This window comes from Homo sapiens, chromosome 1 (assembly GCF_000001405.40).
Source record: "Homo sapiens chromosome 1, GRCh38.p14 Primary Assembly".
NCBI lineage: Eukaryota > Metazoa > Chordata > Mammalia > Primates > Hominidae > Homo > Homo sapiens.
In genome coordinates this window covers 26512078-26533923 of record NC_000001.11, presented here as the reverse complement: position 1 = coordinate 26533923, position 21846 = coordinate 26512078, and the positions used below count along the sequence as shown (strand labels likewise).

The 21846-nt window shown below is 50.1% G+C and overlaps 1 protein-coding gene, 1 long non-coding RNA gene and 1 pseudogene across 3 annotated transcripts in view, besides 3 other annotated features; 2 read left to right on the top strand and 1 right to left on the bottom strand.

Annotated features, from left to right (window-relative positions):
* The window catches only part of RPS6KA1 (ribosomal protein S6 kinase A1), a 45265-nt gene extending 41102 nt beyond the window's left edge, over nt 1–4163 (bottom strand). The window contains exon 1 of one of the 2 annotated variants that reach the window (NM_002953.4): nt 3941–4163. In NM_002953.4, coding sequence (NP_002944.2) covers nt 3941–4003 — 63 coding nt within the window. In that variant the 5' untranslated portion in view covers nt 4004–4163. Of the gene's footprint in view, nt 1–2485; nt 2524–3940 lie in introns of those variants that run through there. The other variant, XM_024448871.2, reaches the window with a different exon arrangement.
* Nucleotides 1735–2646: an enhancer, noted in NCBI's record as "H3K27ac-H3K4me1 hESC enhancer chr1:26857769-26858680 (GRCh37/hg19 assembly coordinates)". NCBI's record gives its function as "activates a minimal SCP1, AML or CMV promoter by ChIP-STARR-seq in primed H9 embryonic stem cells {active_cell/tissue: H9 hESC(primed)}" and the evidence as "EXISTENCE:reporter gene assay evidence [ECO:0000049][PMID:30033119]".
* Nucleotides 2526–4804, top strand: LOC124903884 (uncharacterized). Its single transcript, XR_007065558.1, has 2 exons — nt 2526–2726; nt 3363–4804. It is a non-coding gene; the product is annotated as an uncharacterized LOC124903884 (long non-coding RNA).
* Nucleotides 2647–3557: an enhancer, noted in NCBI's record as "H3K27ac-H3K4me1 hESC enhancer chr1:26856858-26857768 (GRCh37/hg19 assembly coordinates)". NCBI's record gives its function as "activates a minimal SCP1, AML or CMV promoter by ChIP-STARR-seq in primed H9 embryonic stem cells {active_cell/tissue: H9 hESC(primed)}" and the evidence as "EXISTENCE:reporter gene assay evidence [ECO:0000049][PMID:30033119]".
* Nucleotides 3799–4278: a silencer, noted in NCBI's record as "silent region_482". NCBI's record gives its function as "represses an Ori minimal core promoter by ATAC-STARR-seq in GM12878 lymphoblastoid cells {active_cell/tissue: GM12878}" and the evidence as "EXISTENCE:reporter gene assay evidence [ECO:0000049][PMID:35858748]".
* Nucleotides 13660–14807, top strand: DPPA2P2 (developmental pluripotency associated 2 pseudogene 2; annotated as a pseudogene).

Here is a 21846-nt window from a genome sequence, read left to right as displayed (position 1 = left end):
GGGGGGTCAGGGGGGTTGTGGGGTGCTGGCTTCCCACTCAGAGCCTGGGTCCTGGGTCCGGGGTCATCTGCCCCTCTGGCCTGACTGCTGCATAGCAATCCTTGAAAGAACACAGCTGTGCAGCCACAAAGATACAGCCACTAATCCTAGCTCTGCCAGCCACTTATTCTGCCCTTGGGTCTGTCATATCACTTTTTATTTTTATTTTTATTTATTTTTTGAGACAGTTTCACTCTTTTGCCCAGGCTGGAGTGCAGCGGCGCAATCTCAGCTCACTGCAACCTCTGCCCCGCTGGGTTCAAGCAATTCTTCTGCCTCAGCCTCCCAAGTAGCTGGGAATATAGGCCGCACCACCACACCTGGCTAATTTTTGTATTTTTAGTAGAGGCGGGGTTTCGCCATGTTGGCCCAGCTGGTCTCAAACTCCTGACCTCAGGTGATCCACCCGCCTCAGGCTCCCAAAGTGCTAGGATTACAGTCATGAGCCACCACGCGTGGCCTCATATCACTTTTTGAAGTCTCAGTTTCGGCCAGGCGCAGTGGCTCATGTCTGTAATCCCAGCACTTTGGGAGGCTGAGGCCAAGAGGCCTCACAGATCACGAGGATCACGAGGTCAAGAGATCGAGACCATCCTGGTCAACATGGTGAAAACCTGACTCTACTAAAAATACAAAAATTAGCTGGGCATGGTGACACGGGCCTGTAGTCCCAGCTACTCAGGAGGCTGAAGCAGGAGAATCACTTGAACCCGGGAGGTGGAGGTTGCAGTGAGCCGAGATCACGCCACTGCACTCCAGCCTGGTGACAGAGCAAGACTATGTCTCAAAAAATAATAATAGTAATAAAGTCTCAGTTTCCTCATCTGTATCACGAGGGCAGGTGTGTCTTGCTGACATCTGCACTTTGTTGTCTGAAATAGTACTTATCACCTAAGTGCTAAATAAATGACTGAATGGGGACAATGGTGCTGACCTTGCAGAGTACTGAATGAAGGACTTTGTCTTAGGAGTCCTTTGGCCTCTTAGAGGTTGAAGACCCACACTCCTCCCTCTTCCTCAGAGAGCACTGCTCATGAGGACAGATGCCCAGGGCCCCAGACCACTGCCCCCAGTTCTGAGATGTCAGAAATGGGTTCCAACTGGCATCATTCCTTCCCACCCAAGCAACTCTGTCTTAGAAAGAGGGGCCCAGGGCAGCGTCTGGAGAAGCTGGGCAGCAGATGGAGAAGGACAGCACGTGCCCCACAGGCAGGAAGCAGCCCCAGGAGCTGGGTTCTGAGCCCAGCATTGGCAGCCCTGCTCACTGCTGGAGGCTGGGGGCCAGGTGCCAGGGCTGGCTGGCACTGCCAGCCCTCGGCAAAGACTGGACGAGGGCCTTGCAGGATAAGGAGAGTCCGCCAACATCCGGAGCCTCTCTTGGAGCACCTTCCACCTGGGCTAGTGTGGCTCCAGCCCTTCCCCATCCCTGAGCCTCTCTCCCACTTGGTGGAAGAGAGAGATCTTGGTTCCAATCCTGGCTCTGATATTAACACATAAGCCTGAGTTTTCAGTTGTCCCATCTGAAAACAGGGGTAATAATCCCTATCTTGAGAAGCTGTTGTGAGAATTAAAGTGGGGTGACATTCGTAAGGCAGAGTGGGTGGCACATAGTAAAGCTCTGTACGTGGCAGAACTGGGCCTGGGGACAAGGCTACTGCTTTCAACAGGGCTAAGCGAGGCCCAGGCAGAATCCTCACCCACGCTTCCCATAGATTACTCCACCTGGGCTGCACCCTGGGCCAGGCCCTGCCTCCCAGCGGCCCATTTTCAGCAGCATTAAGGGAGGGCAGGGCAGTCCAGATCCTAGGTCCCTGTGAAAAGTCCCCCACCAGCCCCTCACCTGCCTCCTTCCTGGCTAGGAGCTGCCAGCAGTGGTGGTGCCTGTACGTGCAGGTCAGGCGGCTGTATCGCTTACATGTCACCTGGGCTAAGAACAGCGAGGCCCTGTTCTCCAGTGAGAACAGCCCAACCTGCGCCGTGGCTGCCCTGTGGCTCCTGTTACCCAAACAATAACACCCAGTCGCCTGGCACCTCCAGGAGTGGGGGAGGGGGGACCAGACAACAGTACCCAGCGCTCTGCACCCTCTCAGGCCCAGGAAGTGGAGGCTAGAACCTAGCACTTGCCACTGGAGAAGCAGAGGCCCAGACAGGCTGAGGACTGACTGAGGATCACACATCGTTTCTGGAGCGAAGCTCCTGAGGAAATTGCGTCCCCCTGCCCCACCAATCCCAGGAAGTCCGCTGGTCTTCCCCTCTCACAGACCTGAGATGTTACAGAACTCAAAACTGAGATGAGTTTCCCAGTTAAACCTGGCTCCCTGGTGAAGCTGGCCCCTGCCTCAGGATTCCCTAAAGAGAAGCAGGAAGTGGTGCCCCAGGATCGAGCTCCTGGGTGTCCACCCTCCCTATCAGCATAAAGTCACTCCCCAGCCTCTCCCAGCCCTACCTTCTCCTTTGGAGGCCTGGTCCCAGGGGCGTGCCTGGGCAAAGGAATCCACCTCTGAGCACCACCCCCAGGACCTTGCGCCCCGGTCCTAGTAGCGGGGTGGCAGTACAGGGGCTGCAGAGGGCAGTGTTCCTCACCTCAGAGGGTGAGTCAGCGAGAGAACCTCTGAGCAGCCTAGCAGTGCCTGTAAAATCCCCATGGCAGGAATCCCAGAGCAATTTACTCCAAATTGCTCCTTCAGGTTGGTTACCTAATCCTGCCGCGCCCACCCTCCAATAGCCAGTGTCGGCCATCCCTTTAAAGGGGCAGCACACCCTGGGGGCTGGGGACCCTGGGTGCTCACCCTGATCTAAGCCTGTGGTCCTGAGAGGCAGGACACTTGGTGGCTGCCCTAGGTAAGAGAGGGCAGAGGAGGGGACTGAGACAGGGGCTCCAGGCCCAAGCTGGGAGAAAGTCATCTCAGCTCCTGGGCTCAAATGAGGTCTCCATTCCCTCCCTGCATACCCCCAACAACCACCTGGGAAGGAGAATATCACCTGCTTCCTTCCCAGCAAGAGGTTAAGGAGGAAGTTTTCCACCAGCTCATTCAGGGGCTTGACCTTGACCCTGGGGTCAAAAGGCACAGGAAGAGGTGGCCTTCTGCACGCTTAGGGACTGGAGCCACAGAGCCCTCAAGGGAGGTCAGGAGCTGCTTCTGAGAGAGAAGGAGCTGGGTTGTCTGGGGAGTCTGGGCTGGCAGAAGCCAAACTCCCCAAGGGCCCAGCCCTTCCTACCGGAAGGGGCATAAGAAGGGAGGCAGGCACCAAGGTCCCCCCACGCCCTGCCAGGAATCATCTTCACAAGGTCTAAGGGCTCTTCCCCACTCTCGTCTCCACAGCCTGGGGTAGGGCACACAGGTGTCCTCTGGCCCTAGCCTCAGGGCAAAGAAAACCAGGAGTTCCAGCCCCAGACGGGTGGTGCCATCCCACACTCCGCATCCGCCAGGGGTCAAGAGGAGCAATCCTTCTAGGCTCAGCAGCGGTGAAGCCAGAAGCAGGGAGCTCTTGGCGGAGGGCCCTGGGAGAAGTGGGGGTCCCATAACCCCTGTCTCTGGTAGAATCCCAGACATCTGGCACTGAAGATCTCCCCGTCTGCATTAATGGAGGAAGCTCCGACAGCTCTGGACAGATGCCGGGACGGGTCCTAGGTGTGGGGTGAAGGCGACCAGATCTCAGCGCCCCATAGGATCCCCTCTCCTGGCTATGGCGGGGAGGTAGTCGGCGCTTGGCGGAACTGTCCCTCGCACACGCACACCCGGGCATAGGGGGGTGGAGCCGGACAGTGGGCAAGAGATCGGAGGGCACTCGCGCCCTCGCGGGCGCCCGCCGGACTGCAGCGGCGCTTCGGGCCGCCCCGCCCCTGTGAGGATCCGGGCTCGCCGGCCGCGGGCGCCCGTCCCCCGCCCCGCTCACTCACCTCCGGGTCCAGAGGCACTAGCTCCATGAGCGGCCAGGGCTCCTTGAGCTGGGCGAGCGGCATCTCGCCGCCGCCAGGTCACCCGCGCTCCTCCGGCGGCCCCGGCTGCGCCGCCTCCCGGGTCCTGGGGTCCCTGGCTCTGCGACCCGAACCGCCGCGCCCCCCCGAGCCCCTCGCGCTCCGGCTGGGCCGTCCGCCGCCGCCGCCGCGGCACTAGCACTTCGGCTCCCTCCGTCACCCGGCGCCGCCGCGCCCATTGGCTACCTGCGCGGGGGCGGAGCCGGAGAAGCCCCGCCCCAGCCCCCGCGGCGCGGCATTCCCAGCGCGGACCCCCGCCCCCGCCGCGCCCCGAGGGCCGGCCCCGCCCCTGCCGCGAGCCCCCGGCCCGCGCTCGGCTCCGCCGGAGAGGCCCTGCTGGCTCCTTCCCTTCCAGTGGTGTACCCCTGGACACACCACACCAGGGCCACCGTTCTCCCCCGCTCAGCTCTTTTGGAATCCCAGCCCAGATGTTCCTTCTCCTTCCAACGGGAGAGAAGCACCTTATCCCCGACCCCAGCACACACATTCACACTGGGTTCCTGGGCCTGATCTAGGCTGAGGCTTGGAAGGAGCCTGAGACCCACTCCCCTTAGGCCCTCAACTCACCAGGCCCTAGAGATCCCCTATCCTCTAATTTCTACCCCGCCCTGAAGCTAACACTGTGATCTCCGGGCGATCTCAGTGCCCCAGGCCAAGATGGGCATCAGCAGTTGTTACCACCATCAGGACCCATAGTGCCACCACAGAGTGATTGATTGATCGATTGATTTTACATAATGTATATAAATATTACATATATAAATAAATATGTATAAATAAATATTATATATATGCACATATATGTATGTATGTGTGTATATAGTGAGAGAGAGAGAGACACGAAGTTTCGCTTTGTTACCTAGGCTGGTCTCTGACTCCCCGGCTCAAGTGATCCTCCTGCCTCGGCCTCCCAAAGTGCTGGGATTACAGGCATGAGCCACCGCGCCCGGCCAAGAGTGATTTCTTAATATGCGTTTTTGCAATCTGTGCTCTGCCCTATCACTTGAAGGGGGTCCTTTCAGGTCAGGTCTCCCTGGAGTCACCTGCAGCCCCAGCTCTGGACTAGTTTGGGTTTGCGACTCTCTGAGGAGGGACCAGGCTCCCAGGATGAACCGAGGCTTGGTGGGACTTGGAGTGAAAGGCCAGGGAGACTGGTTGCCCCAGAGAGATTCAGCCTCCACCTAAAGAGCCTTAGGGGTCCGGGTGTGCTGAGATGTATTCACATGTGAGGAGTGAGCTTGCTGGAGGGACAAGCTTGCTGGTTTCGCAGGAAGACTGGTCAGTTATTTGCAAAGCTGTTCTAAGGCAGGGGAATGGGAAGGAATGTTTATCAAAAGCTTCCTGCGAGCCATGTGATTTCCTTGAATGATTACCACCACCTAGTTTACAAATCCTGAAACAAGCTCGGAAAGATGAAGTGACTTACCCAAGGTCACACAAGAGGTTGAGAACAGACTAGGGCTTAAAAAAATCAAAGTGTCACACCTGTAATCCCAGCACTGGGAGGCCGAGGCGGGCGGATCACGAGGTCAGGAGATTGAAACCATCCTGGCTAACATGATGAAACCCTGTCTCTACTAAAAATACAAAAAATTAGTAGGGCGTGGTGGCAGGCACCTGTAGTCCCAGCTACTCGGGAGGCTTAGGCAGGAGAATGGTGTGAACCCGGGAGGCGGAGCTTGCAGTAAGCGGAGATAGCCCCCACTGCACTCCAGCCTGGGCGACAGAGACTCCATCTCAAAAAAAAAAAAATCAAAGTGGATAAGGATTTCTCCAGAATCCACGTGCTCCCCCTTTTCCATGGCTTTCCCAGGGTAGGACCTCAGCTGTTGAACTGAATTTTGAGTGAAAGGACTTTGGAACCCAACAATTCTGGGTTTGAATTCCAGCTCTGCTACCTTCTTAACACAGGGAAACTCATTTTATGCCTCTAAACCTCAATTTCTCCATCTGTAAAATGGGAATTATAATCTCAATCTTTCAGGTATATAGGACAAGATTCATTTTAATTCAATAAATTTACAGCTATATATTTTTTATTTGTTTTTTAGAGACGGAGTCTCGCTCTGTTGCCTAGGCTGCAGTGCAGTGGTAAAATCGTAGTTCACTGCAGCCTTGAACTTCTGGGCTCAGGCGATCCTCCCACCTCCCACAAGTAGCTGGCACTTCAGGTGTGTGCCACCATGCCCAGCTAATTTTTTTTCTTTTCTTTTGAGACAGAGTCTTGCTCTGTCAACAGGCTGGAGTGCAGTGGCTCAATCTCAGCTCACTGCAACCTCCACCTCCCAGGTTCAAGCAATTCTCCTGCCTCAGCCTCCTGAGTAGCTGGGACTACAGGTGCGTGCCACCACGCTTGGTTAACGTTGTGTATTTTCAGTAGAGACGGGGTTTCACTGTATTAGCTGGGATGGTCTCAATCTCCTGACCTCATGGTCTGCCCATCTTGGCCTCCCAAAGTGCTGGGATTATAGGCGTGAGCCACTGTGCCAGGTCCCCAGCTAATTTTTTATATGTTTTGTTTTTGTAGAGATGGGGTTTCACTATCTTGCCCAGGCTGGTCTTAAACTCCTGGCCTCAAGCGATCCTCCAGCCTCCCAAAATGCTGGAATTACAGCCACCACACCTGGCTTATTTATGGCTATATATTACACACTAGACCCTCTTTCTGAGCATGTATTGTAAGCCAAGCCTTCTTTTTATTATTATTATTATTATTTTGAGATGGAGTCTCACTCTGTCGCCCAGGCTGGAGTGCAGTTCAGTAGCCTGATCTCGGCTCACTGCAACCTCCGCCTCCCGGGTTCAAATGATTCTCCTGCTCAGCCTCCCAAGTAGCTGGGACTATAGGCATGTGCCACCACACCTGGCTAATTTTTTTTTTTTTTTTGACGGAGTCTCGCTCTGTCACCCAGGCTGGAGTGCAGTGGTGCGATCTCGGCTCACTGCAAGCTCCGCCTCCCGGGTTCACGCCATTCTCCTGCCTCAGCCTCCCGAGTAGCTGGGACTACAGGCGCCCGCTACCACGCCCGGCTAATTTTTTGTATTTTTAGTAGAGACGGGGTTTCACCGTGTTAGCCAGGATGGTCTCGATCTCCTGACCTCGTGATCCGCCCGCCTCGGCCTCCCAAAGTGCTGGGATTACAGGCGTGAGCCACCGCGCCCGGCCCACCTGGCTAATTTTTGTATAGGCGTGTGCCACCACACCTGGCTAATTTTATATATATATATTTTTAGTAGAGACGAGGTTTCACCATGTTGGCCAGTATGCTCTCAATCTCCTAACCACATGATCTGCTCGTCTTGGCCTCCTAAAGTGCTGGGATTACAGGCATAAGCCACTGCGCCTGGCCTATTATTATTATTATTTGTAAAGATGGGGTCTCGCTATGTTGCCCAGGCTGGAGTGCAGTGGCTATTCATAGACGCAACCATAGCACACTACAGCCTTGAACTCCTGCCCTCAAGCAATCCTCTTGCCTCAGCACACCAGGGGATGTGGCTCAGGCTTTCTACTAGATGCTGAGAATATAGCAATGAATAAATTAAAGTCCTTAGCTGGGTACCTGTAATCCTAGCTACTCAGGAGGCTGAGGTAGAATGATCCATTGAGCTCAGGAATTTGAGACTCTAGTGAGCTATGATCACACTATTGCATTCCAGCTTGGGCGACAGAGTGAGACCCCATTGCTAAAAAATAAATAATAAAATACATAATAAATAAAGTATTTGCCTTTACGGAGTTTACATTCATTGTGGTGTAACTAAATAAATAATGACAGCTAACACTAACATAGCACTTACTATGGACCAGGCACTGTTCTATGCATTTTTTACCTGCATAAACTAAGGTAGTCCTTGTAATCTTATGTGTTATGTGCTATTATTCTCTCCAGTGTACAGATGGGGAAACTGAGGGCAGAGAAAGTAAGCATCCCATTACTTGGGTCCCTCCAAGGCCACAGGACTGCAGCCAGGCGCGGTGGCTCACGCCTGTAATCCCAGCACTTTGGGAGGCCAAGGCGGGTGGATCACCTGAGGTCAGGAGTTCAAGACCAGCCTGGCCAACATGGTGAAATCCCGTCTCCCCTAAAAATACAAAAAAAAGAAAAAAAAAGAAAAAAAAAGTAGCTGGGCGTGGTGGCGGGTGTCTGTAATCTCAGCAACTCGGGAGGCTGATGCAGGAGAATCACTTGAACCTGGGAGGTGGAGGTTTTAGTGAGCTGAGACTGTGCCATTGCACTCCAGCCTGGGCAACAAGAGGGAAACTCCAACTCAAAAAAAAAAAAAAAGCCACAGGACTGAAAAATGGCAGAGCTGAGAGACAACCTGACAGTCTGGCTCCAGAGTGTGTTATTAATTTATTTTTTAGACAGAGTTTCACTCTTGTTGCCCAGGCTGGAGTGCAATGGTACCATCTCAGCCCACTGGAACCTCTACCTCCCAGGTTCAAGCCATTCTCCTTCTGCCTCAGCCTCTCGAGTAGCTGAGATTACAGGTGCCCACCACCATGTCCAGCTAATTTTTTGTATTTTCAGTAGAGACGGGGTTTCACCATGTTGACCAGGCTGGTCTTGAACTTCTGACCTCAGGTGATCTGCCACCATCGACCTCCCAAAGTGCTAGGATTACAGGTGTGAGCCACTGCGCCCAGCGCAGAGTGTGTTCTTTTGTTCACATAGTCTCCACCTCCCTGATGAGAAAAGGTGAGGACAAAACAGACGGCAGCCTGGACCAGAGTTGGCAGCCATTATTCACATCAGTGTGGGGATCGTCCAGTTCAGTTACCTGGAAGCAGGTTGTGATGCCCCAGCTCTTGCTGCTCCCAGTTTGAGCTGTTATACTTGAACATATTTTGACTAAAAGTGTATGTGTTGTTTATCTGAAATTCAAATTGGGTATCATGTATTTTGGTTTGCTAGATCTAGTAATTGTACTCAGGAATTGGAACAGATCGCACGTAGCTGCCAGATACCTGGCTTGGAGTCAGCCACATTTAAGTTAGGAAGAGAGACACTGAGACCCACAGGATGAGGGTCAGGGGATGGGCCAGAGAGGTGGGGTGGATGGCAGGAGTAGAGGAGGTGAGGGAAAGCAGGAGTGGTTCTACCTTCAGCTTTCTCCCTTCCTGGGTCCCTGACCCTCTTTCTTCTCCCTCTCAAAGTAATCTCCCTATCAAGAGCATCCTCTCACTTAAGGACTGATTGATTGGTTGTGCTTTCAACCTTTTATGAATAAGCTTCACTTCCTGTGTCCCCTCTCCCATGAGTGGGTCATGCTGGTAAGAGGGGAGCCCAGAGGACATCTGGGCTCTACCTGGAGAGCTTCTCTAGGGGTCAGCTTGCCCATCTCTGGAGTAGGCATAGCAGTCACTCATCAGAGAGCTGTGCAGAACAAACTGTAGCCCACAGGTACAGATGCTGCTAAAGTTTCAGTGCACAAAAGTGTGCTCCACCTCTCTCGTGGCTCCAGCCACACTGGCTTTCCTTCAGTTCTGCCGCAGGGCTTTCGCACATGCCACTCCTTGTACTTGAAACAGTCTTCTTTGTTCTTCAAGCCAGCTCAGCTCTACATCACTTCCTCCAGGACATTTTCCCTCACCTCCGTAGTACTCATACCCATAGCAATCAATACTTGACAGTGCTTCTCAAAGTTGTACTTTTTTACATTTGTTTATGTGACTATTTGATTAACATCTGGCTTTTTTTTTTTTTTGAGACAGAGTTTCACCCTCGTTGCCCAGACTGGAGTGCAATGGCACAATCTTGGCTCACTGCAACCTCTGCCTCCTGGGTTCAAGCGATTCTCCTGCCTCAGCCTCCCGAGTAGCTGGGATTACAGGCGCCCACCACACACCAGCTAATTTTTTGTATTTTTAGTAGAGACTGGGTCTCTCCATGTTGGTCAGGCTGGTCTCGAACTCCTGACCTCAGGTGATTTGCCCACCGCAGCCTCCCAAAGTGCTGGGATTACAGACGTGAGCCACTGCCCCCGGCCTACATCTGGCTTTTAAATTAGACTGTAAACTGTGAGAGGGCAGCTGTTGGGTCTTGTTGGCTCTTCATTGTCTTCCTGACACCTGACACACTGCCTGGCACACAGGTACTCAAAAAGACTAAATGAATGATATGTCCAACATCACCCAGCTATGCAATGGTAAATTTGCAACTCAGACCCAGGCAATCTAATCTCATGCTCTGAAATGCTACACTCTGAGTGATGGATAAATTCTAGCTTTTTTTTTTTTTTTTTTTGAGACAGGATCTTGTTTTGTTGCCCAAGCTAGAGTCCAGTGGTGCAATCATGGCTCACTGCAGCCTCAACATCCTGGGCTCCAGCAATTCTCCCACCTCAGCCTCCCAAGTAGCTGGGACTATAGGCATGCACCACTACTCAGCTATTTTTTTTTTTTTTTATTTTTAAAAGATTTTTGTAGAGACGGGGTTTCGCCTGGCCTTGAGATGTTTGTTAAATGAGTGACTTGTGAGTGTGAAAGGGCTTTGCTAGACACAAGTGAGGCTACCACTCTGCGCCCTGTCAAAGAGGCAGTTCTGGCAAGGAGCAGGGGGCTGAACTGACAGGGGCTGAGGGCCGGGTTTTGGGTCCCTCTTCTGAAGCCTGGGAGGTTTTTCTTTTTCTTTTTTTTTTCTTTGTTTGAGACGGAGTCTCTCCCTGTCACCAGGCTGGAGGGCAGTGGCGCGATCTTGGCTCACTGCAACCTCCGCCTCCCAGGTTCAAGCTATTCTCCTGCCTCAGCCTCCCAAGTAGCTGGGAATACAGGCACCTGCCACCACACCCGGCTAATTTTTTGTATTTTTAGTAGAGACAGGGTTTCACCATGTTAGCCAGGATGGTCTCGATCTCCTGACCTCGTGATCTGCCCGCTTCAGCCTCCCAAAGTGCTGGGATTACAGGTGTGAGCCACCGCGCCCGGCCGAGGTTTTTCTATGATGTTCAAGAGCAGAGGTTCTGGAAAGGACCTGTCCTGGGGAGAGGGTCTGTCATCATTATTCTTTCTTGGCCTCTCAGTAAAGGGTATTCCTGGCTAATGTGTCTTTAACAGGTGGAACAGGATGAGGAGAATAATCACAATGATAGTTACCTTTAATGAGCGATTACAAAGTGCCAGAACAGAGCTGAAACTTTAAATAATAATAATCACAAGTGGGGTGCGGTGGCTCATGCCTGTAATCTCAGCACTTTGGGAGGCTGAGCCAAGAGGATTGCCTGAGCCCAGGAGTTTGAGGCCAGCCTGGGCAACATAGCAAGATACCATTTCTACTAAAAATAAAAACATTAGCCAGGCATGGTGGCGCGCATTCATAGACCTAGCTACTTGGAGGCTGAGGCCAGAGCATAGCTTGAGCCCAGGAGTTTGAGGTTGCAGTGAGCTATGATTGAGCCATTGCCCTCCAGCCTGGGCAAAAGAGCAAGCTCCTGTCTCAAAAAAAATTAAAAAATAATAGTAACAAACTATGAGTGCTTATTGAGAGAGCCCTATGTAGCCTGCCTGGAGCTGAGTGTTTTACAAGTAAGAACTCATCAAATCACCCCAATGATACAATGCCATGAGACAAAAATTATTGTCCCATTTTCCAGATGAGAAAACTGAGGCTTAGAGAGGGACAGGATTGCCCATGGTCAGACAGCCAGTAAGTATTGCAGCTGGGCTGGGAACCCACTTCTCTCAGACCTGAAAGCCAGTGCTCTTGATCACTTCACTATGCTAAGTTCAGAAAGGGGTCCAGGAGAGCTCAGTGTGCACACAGTGGGTGACAGTGATGGAGCAGTGATGGAGTGATGGAGGGGGCAGAGTCTCTTGTCTGTCTCATCCCTCATCTGAGGAATGGGAATGGTGTCATCCTTCTGCTTGAAATCCTCCTGCGCCTCCCCCATCACACTTCAAACAAATCCAAAGTCTTGGCCAAGTCTGTGAACCCCCCAGGCCCCGGCCCACTCCGTCGGGCACTCTCTCCTACCACTCTGTCCCTCGTTCGCCGCTCTCCTGCCACCGGGTATCTTTGCGGATCACTGGACATGCCTGGTATGCTCCTGTCAGGCTCTGCTCCTGCTATGCCCTCCACCTGGAACATTCTTTCTCCATTTCTCAGGGTTCACTCTCTTACTTCATTCACACCTCTGCTCAAATGTCACCTCCCGGAGAGGACTTTCCTTTTCTTATCTTACCTAAAATAGTTCCCCTTGGCCGGGCGCGGTGGCTCACGCCTATAATCCCAGCACTTTGGGAGCCTGAGGCGGGCGGATCACTTGAGATCAGGAGTTTGAGACCAGCCTGGCCAACATGGTGAATCCCTGTCTCTACTAAAACTACAAAAATCAGCCAGGCATGGTGGCGCGCATGCCTGTTATCCCAGCTTCCTGGGAGGCAGAGGTAGGAGAATCACTTGAACCCAGGAGGCGGAGGTTGCAATGAGCCAAGATTGCGACATTGCACTCCAGCCTGGGTGACAGAGCGAGACTGTCTGAAGAAAAAGAAAAAAAAAGCTCTCCATCAGCTATATAACCTACGTTATCTTTTTATTTTTCATGGCATGCTCTTTACTAGCAATCCTGTTGTTTATTTACCTGTTTGTTTCTCCCACTAGAACAAAGCTCCATGAGGCAGGACTTGTCTGTTTACTGCTGTTTCTCTGGATACATTTGATATATTGTAGGCCCTCAAAATGTACTTGTGAATGGAGCCACACCAACCTGGGCTCTAATCCTGGTCTGGCTACCTCCTAGCTGTGTGACTTTGAGTATTTCGGTTAACCCCTCTGAGCCTCAGTTTGTGCCTTAGAAAACTAGAGGTGGCTATGAGTATTAAGTGAGATCAGGCAATAAAATACCTGTGTGGCACCTGGCACACGATAGGTGCTCCATAGAAATGGTAGGTGACAGCCGGGTGTGGTGGCTCACGCCTGTAATCCCAGCACTTTGGGAAGCCAAGGCAGACAGATCACGAGGTCAGGAGATCGAGACCATCCTGGCTAACACGGTGAAACCCTGTCTCTACTAAAAATACAAAAAATTAGCCGGGCGTGGTGGCGGGCTCCTGTAGTCCCAGCTACTCAGGAGGCTGAGGCAGGAGAATGGTGTGAACCCAGGAGGTGGAGCTTGCAGTCAGCCGAGATTGCACCACTGCACTCCAGCCTGGGCAACAGAGTGAGACTCTGTCTCAAAAAAAAAAAAAAAAAAAAAGAAGAAAATAAATGGTAGGTGACAATCACAGACTTCCTTCCTTCCCTCCAAATTCTTCCCCCTGCAAAGAAGGGAGAGAGCCAGAGATTGGGGCCTGGGGTTCACTGAGTGGGTTCTGCACTTGTGTGCAGCGAAGACATGAGGCCTCAGCCTGGAGGGACTCCCCTGACTGTGGTCAGGGGATGAATGAGAACGAAGCCAAAGAGGGAGTGGTCAAGCCTGGTGAAACCCGTCTCTACTAAAAATACAAAATTAGCCAGGTGTGGTGGTGCACGCCTGTAGTCCCAGAGACTGGGGTCTCACCATGTTTCCCAGGCTGATCTCGAACTCCTGGACTCAAGTGATCTGCCTGCCTGAGCCTCCCAGAGCGCTGGGATTACAGGCATGAGCCATCATGCCAGGCCTAATTTTAAAAAAAATGTATCACCGAATGGACAAGACAGGGGTGTTGCTGAAAATGTCAGACTCAAATTTGGATAGCAGCAAGAAGAATTTCTTTGAGGGGGAAGTAGCTGATGAGGAAAGTGTGATTTTGACATTGCTGCCAGTTAAAGATGACCCAAATATGGAACAAACAGAACCAAGTGTTTCTTCAACTTCTGATGTCAAACTGGAGAAACCTATGAAATACAATCAAGGTCATCTACTTCAAACAAATTAACAATTTACAGCTCCACAAAAAGCTAGATGCAAAATACCAGCTCTTCCCTTGCCGACCATTTTGCCTCCCATTAATAAGGTGTGTTGGGACACTTTGCGGGACTGGTGCCAACAACTCAGTTTGAGTACTAATGGCAAGAAAATCGAAGTTTATCTGAGGGTCCATAGGCCTGCTTACCCTGAACAACAGCAAGATATGCCTGAAATGTCACAAGAGACCAGATTACAGCGGTGTTCAAGGAAACACAAGGCAGTGACCAAGAGAGCAAGGCTTCAGAAAACTTATGAGATGAATGAGAGAGCAGAAGAGACGAATACAGTCGAAGTGATAACTTCAGCGCAGGGAGCCATGTTGGCATCAAGGGCAAGAATTGCTGCAAGAGCTGTTGAGCCTGAGGCTGTGAATTCAAGTTCCATTCCTGTTTCTCTTGAGGCCTTTTTGATGCAAGCCGCTGGTGTCAGGTGGTGTGTGGTCCATGGCAGACTTCTCTCGGCAGACACAAAGGGTTGAGTACGCCTGCAGTTTCATGCAGGTCAGGCTTGAGTGCCTACCACTCACAGGAGGATGATTTCTCTCTTCTTGTTACCTGCCTGCATTTTCCCATCCCCAGGCACAGAAGATAATATGTTATGCCCCAACTGTGCTAAGAAGAATAAGAAGATGATGAAAAGATTAATGACAATAGAGAAGTAGCAGCCATCTGTTTGAATGAAATGTACTAGAGAAGGAGGGATGTACTTTCGGACCATGTAAACCTATTATGAAGGAATAGAAGAGGAGACAATTTGAATGAATCTTTGTGATATACAAAACAAAAATCATAGTGACTAGGACTCCACAGTGAAGATGGTTGATAGTGACACAGCCCCATCTGAAAAGCCCCTTTCTGTAAGTCTGAAAACCCTTTAAAATAAAGTCACAGCAATCGGCAAAAAAAAAAAAAAAAAAAAAGAGAGAGGGAGTGGTCAGAGAGGAAGAGGAGGAACAGAAGCATGCAGGTGGGATGGTCCAGGACTGCAGAGGGTCAAGGAGAGCAAGGCAGAGAATTAGGCAGTGAGCTCCTCCACAGAGCGGTACCTCTGACCTGGAGCCTGGGGGTGAGGCCAACTTTGGTTGCTGACATTAGAGAGGACAGGAGGCGACAGCAGAGGTGACACAGTAGCAGGAAGAGTTGGGAAGGGAATTGGAGTTAAAAGGGGCAGAAGAGGGAGCAGCTGATCACCAACAAATAGTTACTGAGCACCAGCTACATGCCAGGCACTGTTCTAGGCACTAGGAATACAGCAGAGGAGAAGACAGTCTCTGCCCTCTAGGATAGAGGCGCACAAACTGGCCCACATGATAAATCTGGCCTACTGTGTTTGTATGCTTGCAAGCTAAGAATGGGTTTTAGATTTTTAAATCATTTTAAAAGTCAAAAGAAGAATATTTCATGACATGTGAAAGTTATATGAAATTCATATTGTAGCATCCATAAATAAAGTTTTATTGGAACACAGCCACGCTCCGTTTACGTATCGTCTATGGCTGCTTTCTCACCACAACAGCAGAGTTGAGTAGTTGCAACAGAGACCATATGGCCTGAAAAGCCTAAAATATTTACTAGCTGGCTCTTTCGAAAAAAGTTTGTTCAGGGGGTGAGGGGTTAGGAGAGGGACAGCATTAGGAGAAATACCTAATGTAGATGACAGGTTGATGGGCGCAGCAAACCACCATGGCATGTGTATACCTATGTAACAAAACTGCATGTTCTGCACATGTAGCACAGAATTTAAAGTATAATTTTAAAAAAAATTAAAAAAAAAAAGAGGCACCAGAGCGGTGGCTCACGCCTGTAATCCTAGCACTTTGGGAGGCTAAGGCAGGCGGATCACCTGGGCAAAAAGAGGGAAACTCTGTCTTAAAAAAAAAAAAAAAAAAAAAAAGAGGCACCAGAGAGCTGCCTTGCCTTTCTGCCATGTGAGGACACATAGAAAGTGCTCTGTATGAGGAACTGGCCATCACTAGACACCAAATCTCCTGGAGCTTTGATCCTGGACTTCCTAGCCTCCAGAACTCGGAGAGATTTCTGTCTTTGATAAATTGCCCACTGTAAAGTATTTTGCTGTAGTAGCCTAGATGGACTAAGACAGTGCCCTAATAAGAAGAGACACCAGATAGCTTACTCCCTCTCTCTCAAGCTCACAAAGAAGAGGTCATGTGGTCATGTGAGCACACAGCAAGATGGTGGCTGATGACAAGTCAAGGGAAGAGTCCTCAGAATGAAATCAACCTTGGCAGCACCTTGATTTTGGATTTCCCAACCTCCAGAACTGTCAGAAATCAATTTCTGCTGTTTGAGCCCCTCCCCCCACAAAAAGTTTGTTGACTCCTGCTCTATCTGGCTAGACACAGTGGCTAATGCCTGTAATTCCAGCAATTTGGGAGATTGAAGCAGGCTTGCTTGAGCCCAGGAGTTTGAGACCAGCCTGGGCAACACAGTGAGACCCCATCTCTACAAACAATACAAAAATGCCTGGTGCCTTGTGCCTGTAGTACCGGCTAATCAGGAGGCTGAGGCAGGAGGATAGCTTGAATCTGAGATGTTAAGGCTGCACTGAGCAATGATTATGGCACTGTACTCCAGCCTGGGAGACAAAATGAGGCCCTGTCTCAAAAAAAAAAAAAAAAAAAAAAGAAAGAAAAAAAAGAAAAGAAAAAGAAAAGAAAAGAAAGAAAAAAAGTTACATTTTCTTTGGGGAAGACAGTTAAACAAGTAGGTGAGCTCTTTTCCGGGTGCTTCCCAGGACAAGAACCAGCGGGTTTCAGTGTTTCTTTGTACCCTGCTCCTTGGCCGCCTTCCCCTGGAAGAGAAGTTCTCTATCCAGCCAGGCTCTGATACAGCAGCAGAGCAGCCTAGGTCATGGTGATCAGTTCCCTGCCTCCTGGCCAAGAGGATCTAGCCTTTTCCTGGAAGGAAAAAAATCTCTCAGTGATTGCAGTCTAGCACCCACCAGATCCCCTTCCCCTCTCTCAGATCCTGGATCCAGGAACAGCTTGTGAGCTCAGAAGAACATAATCACCTTTGTTGTCAAGGCCTGCCATCTGTGTACACCTGCCACCTGGGTGGTGCCCTCCTCTTTCTAAACACTCTTCTCCCCCACTGCTTCATGGAACCCTCACAGGGGTAAGGTATGGGTAGGGATTGTTACTTCCATTTCCAGATGAGAAAACAGACTTAAAAAGATGAACTGACTTACCCAGGGTCATTGGCTGGAAATAGCTTGTGGAGCCAAAATTAGAAAGAGTGGATTTAGAGGCAGTCTTTGTCTCTTTTTAAAAAAAGAAAGAATTAATAAAAGAAAGTTGGCCAGGCGCAGTGGCTCATGCCTGTAATCCCAGCACTTTGGAAGACCGAGGCAGATGGATCACTTGAGGTCAGGAGTTTGAGACCAGCCTGGCCAACATGGTGAAACCCTGTCTCCACTAAAACTCCCACCAAAAATTAGCTGGGCGTCATGGTGCATGCCTATAATCCCAGCTACTCAGGAGGCTGAGGCAGGAGAATCGCTTGAAACCGGGAGACAAAAATTCACGCCACTGCACTCCAGCCTGAGTGACAGAGCAACACTCCATCTCAAAAAAAAAAAGAAGAAGAAGGGCTGGGCGCAGTGGCTCACGCCTGTAATCCCAGCACTTTGGGAGGCCGAGGTGGGCGGATCACAAGGTCAGGAGTTCGAGACCAGCCTGGCCAACATGGTGAAACCCTGTCTCTACTAAAGATACAAAAAATTTGCGGGGCGTGGTGGCACGCGCCTGCAATCCCAGCTACTCGGGAGGCTGGGGCAGGAAAATGGCTTGAACCCAGGAGGTAGAGGTTGCAGTGAGCTGAGATTGCGCCATTGCACTCCAGCCTAGGTGACAGGGCGAGACTCCATCTCAAAAAAAAAAAAAAATAGTGGAATGTTGTCAGCTTTGGAAGGGGCCTTTGTCTTGGCCAAAGATGGGAAACTGGTAGCCTGAGGCAGAGGTGAATCAGGTAAGGGTGGTAGTGAGTCTGCCATGTGCAAGAAATAAGGCATGCTTTGTCTGTAGAGAATTTAAAAACATTAGTGAGGCCAGTTGCCATGGCTCACGCCTGTACTCCCAGCACTTTGGGAGGCTGAGACAGGTGGATTGCTTGAGCCCAGGAGTTCAAGACCAGCCTGGGCAACATGGTGAAACCTCACCTCTACAAAAAAAGTAAAAAAAATGATAAAATAAAAACATCAATGAAACTGGGTAGGTCTGCTTTTTACTATCACCATGGCTTGGCAATTCTAAATAATGTCAGTGATAAAATCATCCTTCCCAAAGAGATCCCTCTGTTGGTCAAAGTACTAATTGTTGTGATTGCTGTGAGGTTTTTGTTTTTTGTTCTTTTTTTGTTTTTTTTTTTTTTAAGAGACAGAGTTTCCCTCTGTCAGCCAGGCTGAAGGGCAATGGCACAATCACAGCTCACTGCAGCCTCGAATTCCTGGGCTCAAGGGATCCTCCCACCTCGGCCTCCCAAAGCACTGGGACTGCTATAAGTTTTAGGAATATATGTAAGCTGCAGATTCATATATTTTTATTACCTAAACTTTAATAAATAATATATTCTACATGGAAGCTAATTTGGATAACTCCTGAGTTATACGCTTGGCCCCCAGCACACAGGGAGTCAGCTACACACCTTTAGTTTGAGAGTTCCCAGTGGGTCGAAATCATGGGAGCTCACTTTGGGAGTAGTTCATGTCTCCACATCCTTGCATTTAAACAACAAATTTGAAATCAACAGTGATAGCACAGTAACTATAAAAACAAGGGAAAAGCTGGGCACGGTGGCTCATGCCTGTAATCCTAGCACTTTGGGAGGCTGAGGCGGGTGGATCACGAGGCCGGGAGATCGAGACCATCCTGACTAACACGGTGAAACCCCATCTCTACTAAAAATACAAAAAATTAGCCGGGCGTGGTGGCGGGTGCGTGTAGTCCCAGCTACTCGGGAGGTTGAGGCAGGAGAATGGCATGAACCTGGGAGGTGGAGCTTGCAGTGAGCCAAGATCACACCAGTGCACTCCAGCCCAGGCAACAGAGCGAGATTCCGTCTCAAAAAAATAAAATAAAATAAAAAATAAAATTTTCACTGTGTTTACTTTCTGACCATGATTATTTGTTTTATTTCATAATTGTTATTGATAAAAATTCTGACATATGGAGGTTAAAATATGATTCTCTTTGTGTGTCAAATATACTAGGTGCACCATGGACCTGAAGACAGAAGAGGACCCACAGTGGCTTACATCATTATGTTATCCATCATAATCATCATTTTATTTATTTATTTATTTTGGACACAGGTCTTGCGCTGTCACCCAGGCTAAAGTGCAGTGGAGCTCACTGCAGCCTCAAACTCCTGGGCCCAAGTGATTCTCCCATCTCAGCCTACCAAGGAGCTAGTACTACAGGCATTTACCACCACATCTGACTACTTTTTGTTTTTTGAGACAGAGTCTCACTCTGTCGCCCAGGCTAGAGTGCAGTGGTACGATCTCGGCTCACTGCAACCTCTGCCTCCCAGGTTCAAGCAATTCTCCTGCCTCAGCCTCCTGAGTAACTGGGACTACAAGGGCGTGCCACCACACCCAGCTCAGCTAATTTTTTGTATTTTTAGTAGAGACGGGGTTTTGCCATGTTGGCCAGGCTGGTCTCGAACAACTAGATCTCGTGATCTGCCCGCCTCGGCCTCCCAAAGTGCTGGGATTACAGGTGTGAGCCACCATGCCTGGCCTTAATTTTTATTTTTGTAGAGACAGGGTCTTGCTATGTTGCCCAGGCTGGTGTCAAACTCCTGGGCTCAAGGAGTTTTTTTTTTTTTTTTTTGAGACACGGTTACTCTGTCTCCCATGCTAGAGTGCAGTAGCATGCTCATGGCTCACTGGAGCTTCGACTTCCCAGGCTCAAGCAATCCTCCCACCTCAGCCTCCCTAGTAGCTGGGACTACAGGCACGCACCACCATGTCCGGGTAATTTTTGTATTTTTTGTAGAGACAGAGTTTGCCATGTTGCCCAAGCTGGTCTCAAACTCCTGGGCTCAAGTTGTCTGCCCTCCTCAGCCTCCCAAAGTGCCCAGGTAAGCGTGAGCCACCATGCCTAGCCTCTTTCTTAAAAACATGAAAAAAAAAGTTATTGTCTTGATTATTGAGATTTTTGATGCCTCCTTAAATTTTGTACTTTAAGAGGTTTTGTACCTCATTAACCTCCCCCTAGTCCTGACCTTGCTTATTTAGCCCTCGCGACAATCCTGTAAAGTAAGTGCTATAATTACCCCTGTGTTACAGATAAGAAACGTGAAGCACAGGCTGGGCACGGTGGCTCACACCGGTAATCCCAGCACTTTGGGAGGCCGAGGTGGGCAGATCACAAGGTCAGGAGATCGAGACCATCCTGGCTAACATGGTGAAACCCCATCTCTACTAAAAATTAAAAAAAAAATTGCCGGGTGTGGTGGCACGCACCTGTAGTCCCAGCTACTTGGGAGGCTGAGATAGGAGAACTGCTTGAACCCGGGAGGTGGAGGCTGCGGTGAGCCGAGATCGGGCCACTGCACTCCAGCCTGGGCAACAGAGCGAGACTCTGTCTCAGAAAAAAGAAAAAGAAAAGTAAGGCACAGAGAGGCCAAGTGATTTGGCCAAGGACATACACTTTGTTTTTTGTTTTGTTTTGAGACAGGGTTTCATCATATTGGTCAGGCTGGTCTCGAACTCCTGACCTCAGGTAATCCACCTGCCTCGGCCTTTCAAAGTGCTGGGATTACAGGTGTGAGCCGCTGCACCCGGCCTTAAAATGTATCTCTTTCTTTTTTTTTTTTTTGAGATGGAGTTTCACTCTTCTTGCCCAGTCTGGAGTGCAATGGCATGATCTCGGCTCACTGCAACCTCCACCTCCCAGGTTCAAGCGAGTCTCCTGCCTCAGCCTCCCAAGTAGCTGGGATTACAGGCACGTGCCACCACGCCCAGCTAATTTTGTACTTTTAGTAGAGATGGGGTTTCTCCATGTTGGTCAGACTGGTCTTGAACTCCCAACCTCAGGTGATCCACCTGCCTCAGCCTCCCAAAGTGCTTGGATTACAGGTGTGAGCCACTGCACCCAGCCTAAAATGTATTTCTTAAAATAATAAGACTTGAAAGTCAAAATTACTCCCTGATCCATGGGCTGCAGAATGGATGTTGTGTTAGCAGGCATGAAAATCATATTAATCTTGTACATCTCCATCAGAGCTCTTGGGTGATCATGTGCATTGTCAATGAGCAGTAATATTTTAAAAGAAATCTTTTTCCTAAGAAGTAGGTCTCAACAGTGGGCCTAAAGTATTCCATAAACCATGCTGTAAACAGATGTGTTGTCATCCAGGCTGTGTTTTCCCATTTATAGAGGACAGCAAGAGTGGATTCGGCATAAGTTTTAAAGTCCTTGAGATTTTCCCCAGAATGGTCAATGAGCACTGGCTTCAAATTCAAGTTGCCAACTGCATTAGCCCCTAACAAGAGAGTCGGCCTGTCCTTTGAAGCACTGAAGCCAGGCATTGACTTCTCTCTAGCTATGAAAGTTCTAGATGGCATCTTCTTCCTATAGAAGGCTCTTTTGTGTGTGTGTGTGTGTGTGTGTGTGTTTGTGTGTGTGTGTGTGTATGAGAGAGAGAGAGAGAGAGAGAGAGAGAGAGAGAGAGAGAGAGAGAGAGAGACAGAGTTTCGTTCTTGTTACCCAGGCTGGAGTGCAATGGTGCAATCTCAGCTCCCTCTAAGGCTCAGCTCCAACCTCTGCCTCCTGGGTTCAAGTGATTCTCCGGCCTCACCCTCCCGAGTAGCTGGGATTACAGGTGCTTGCCACCATGCTCAGCCAATTTTTGTATTTTTAGTAGAGATAGGGTTTCACTATATTGGCTAGGCTGGTCTTGAACTCCTGACGT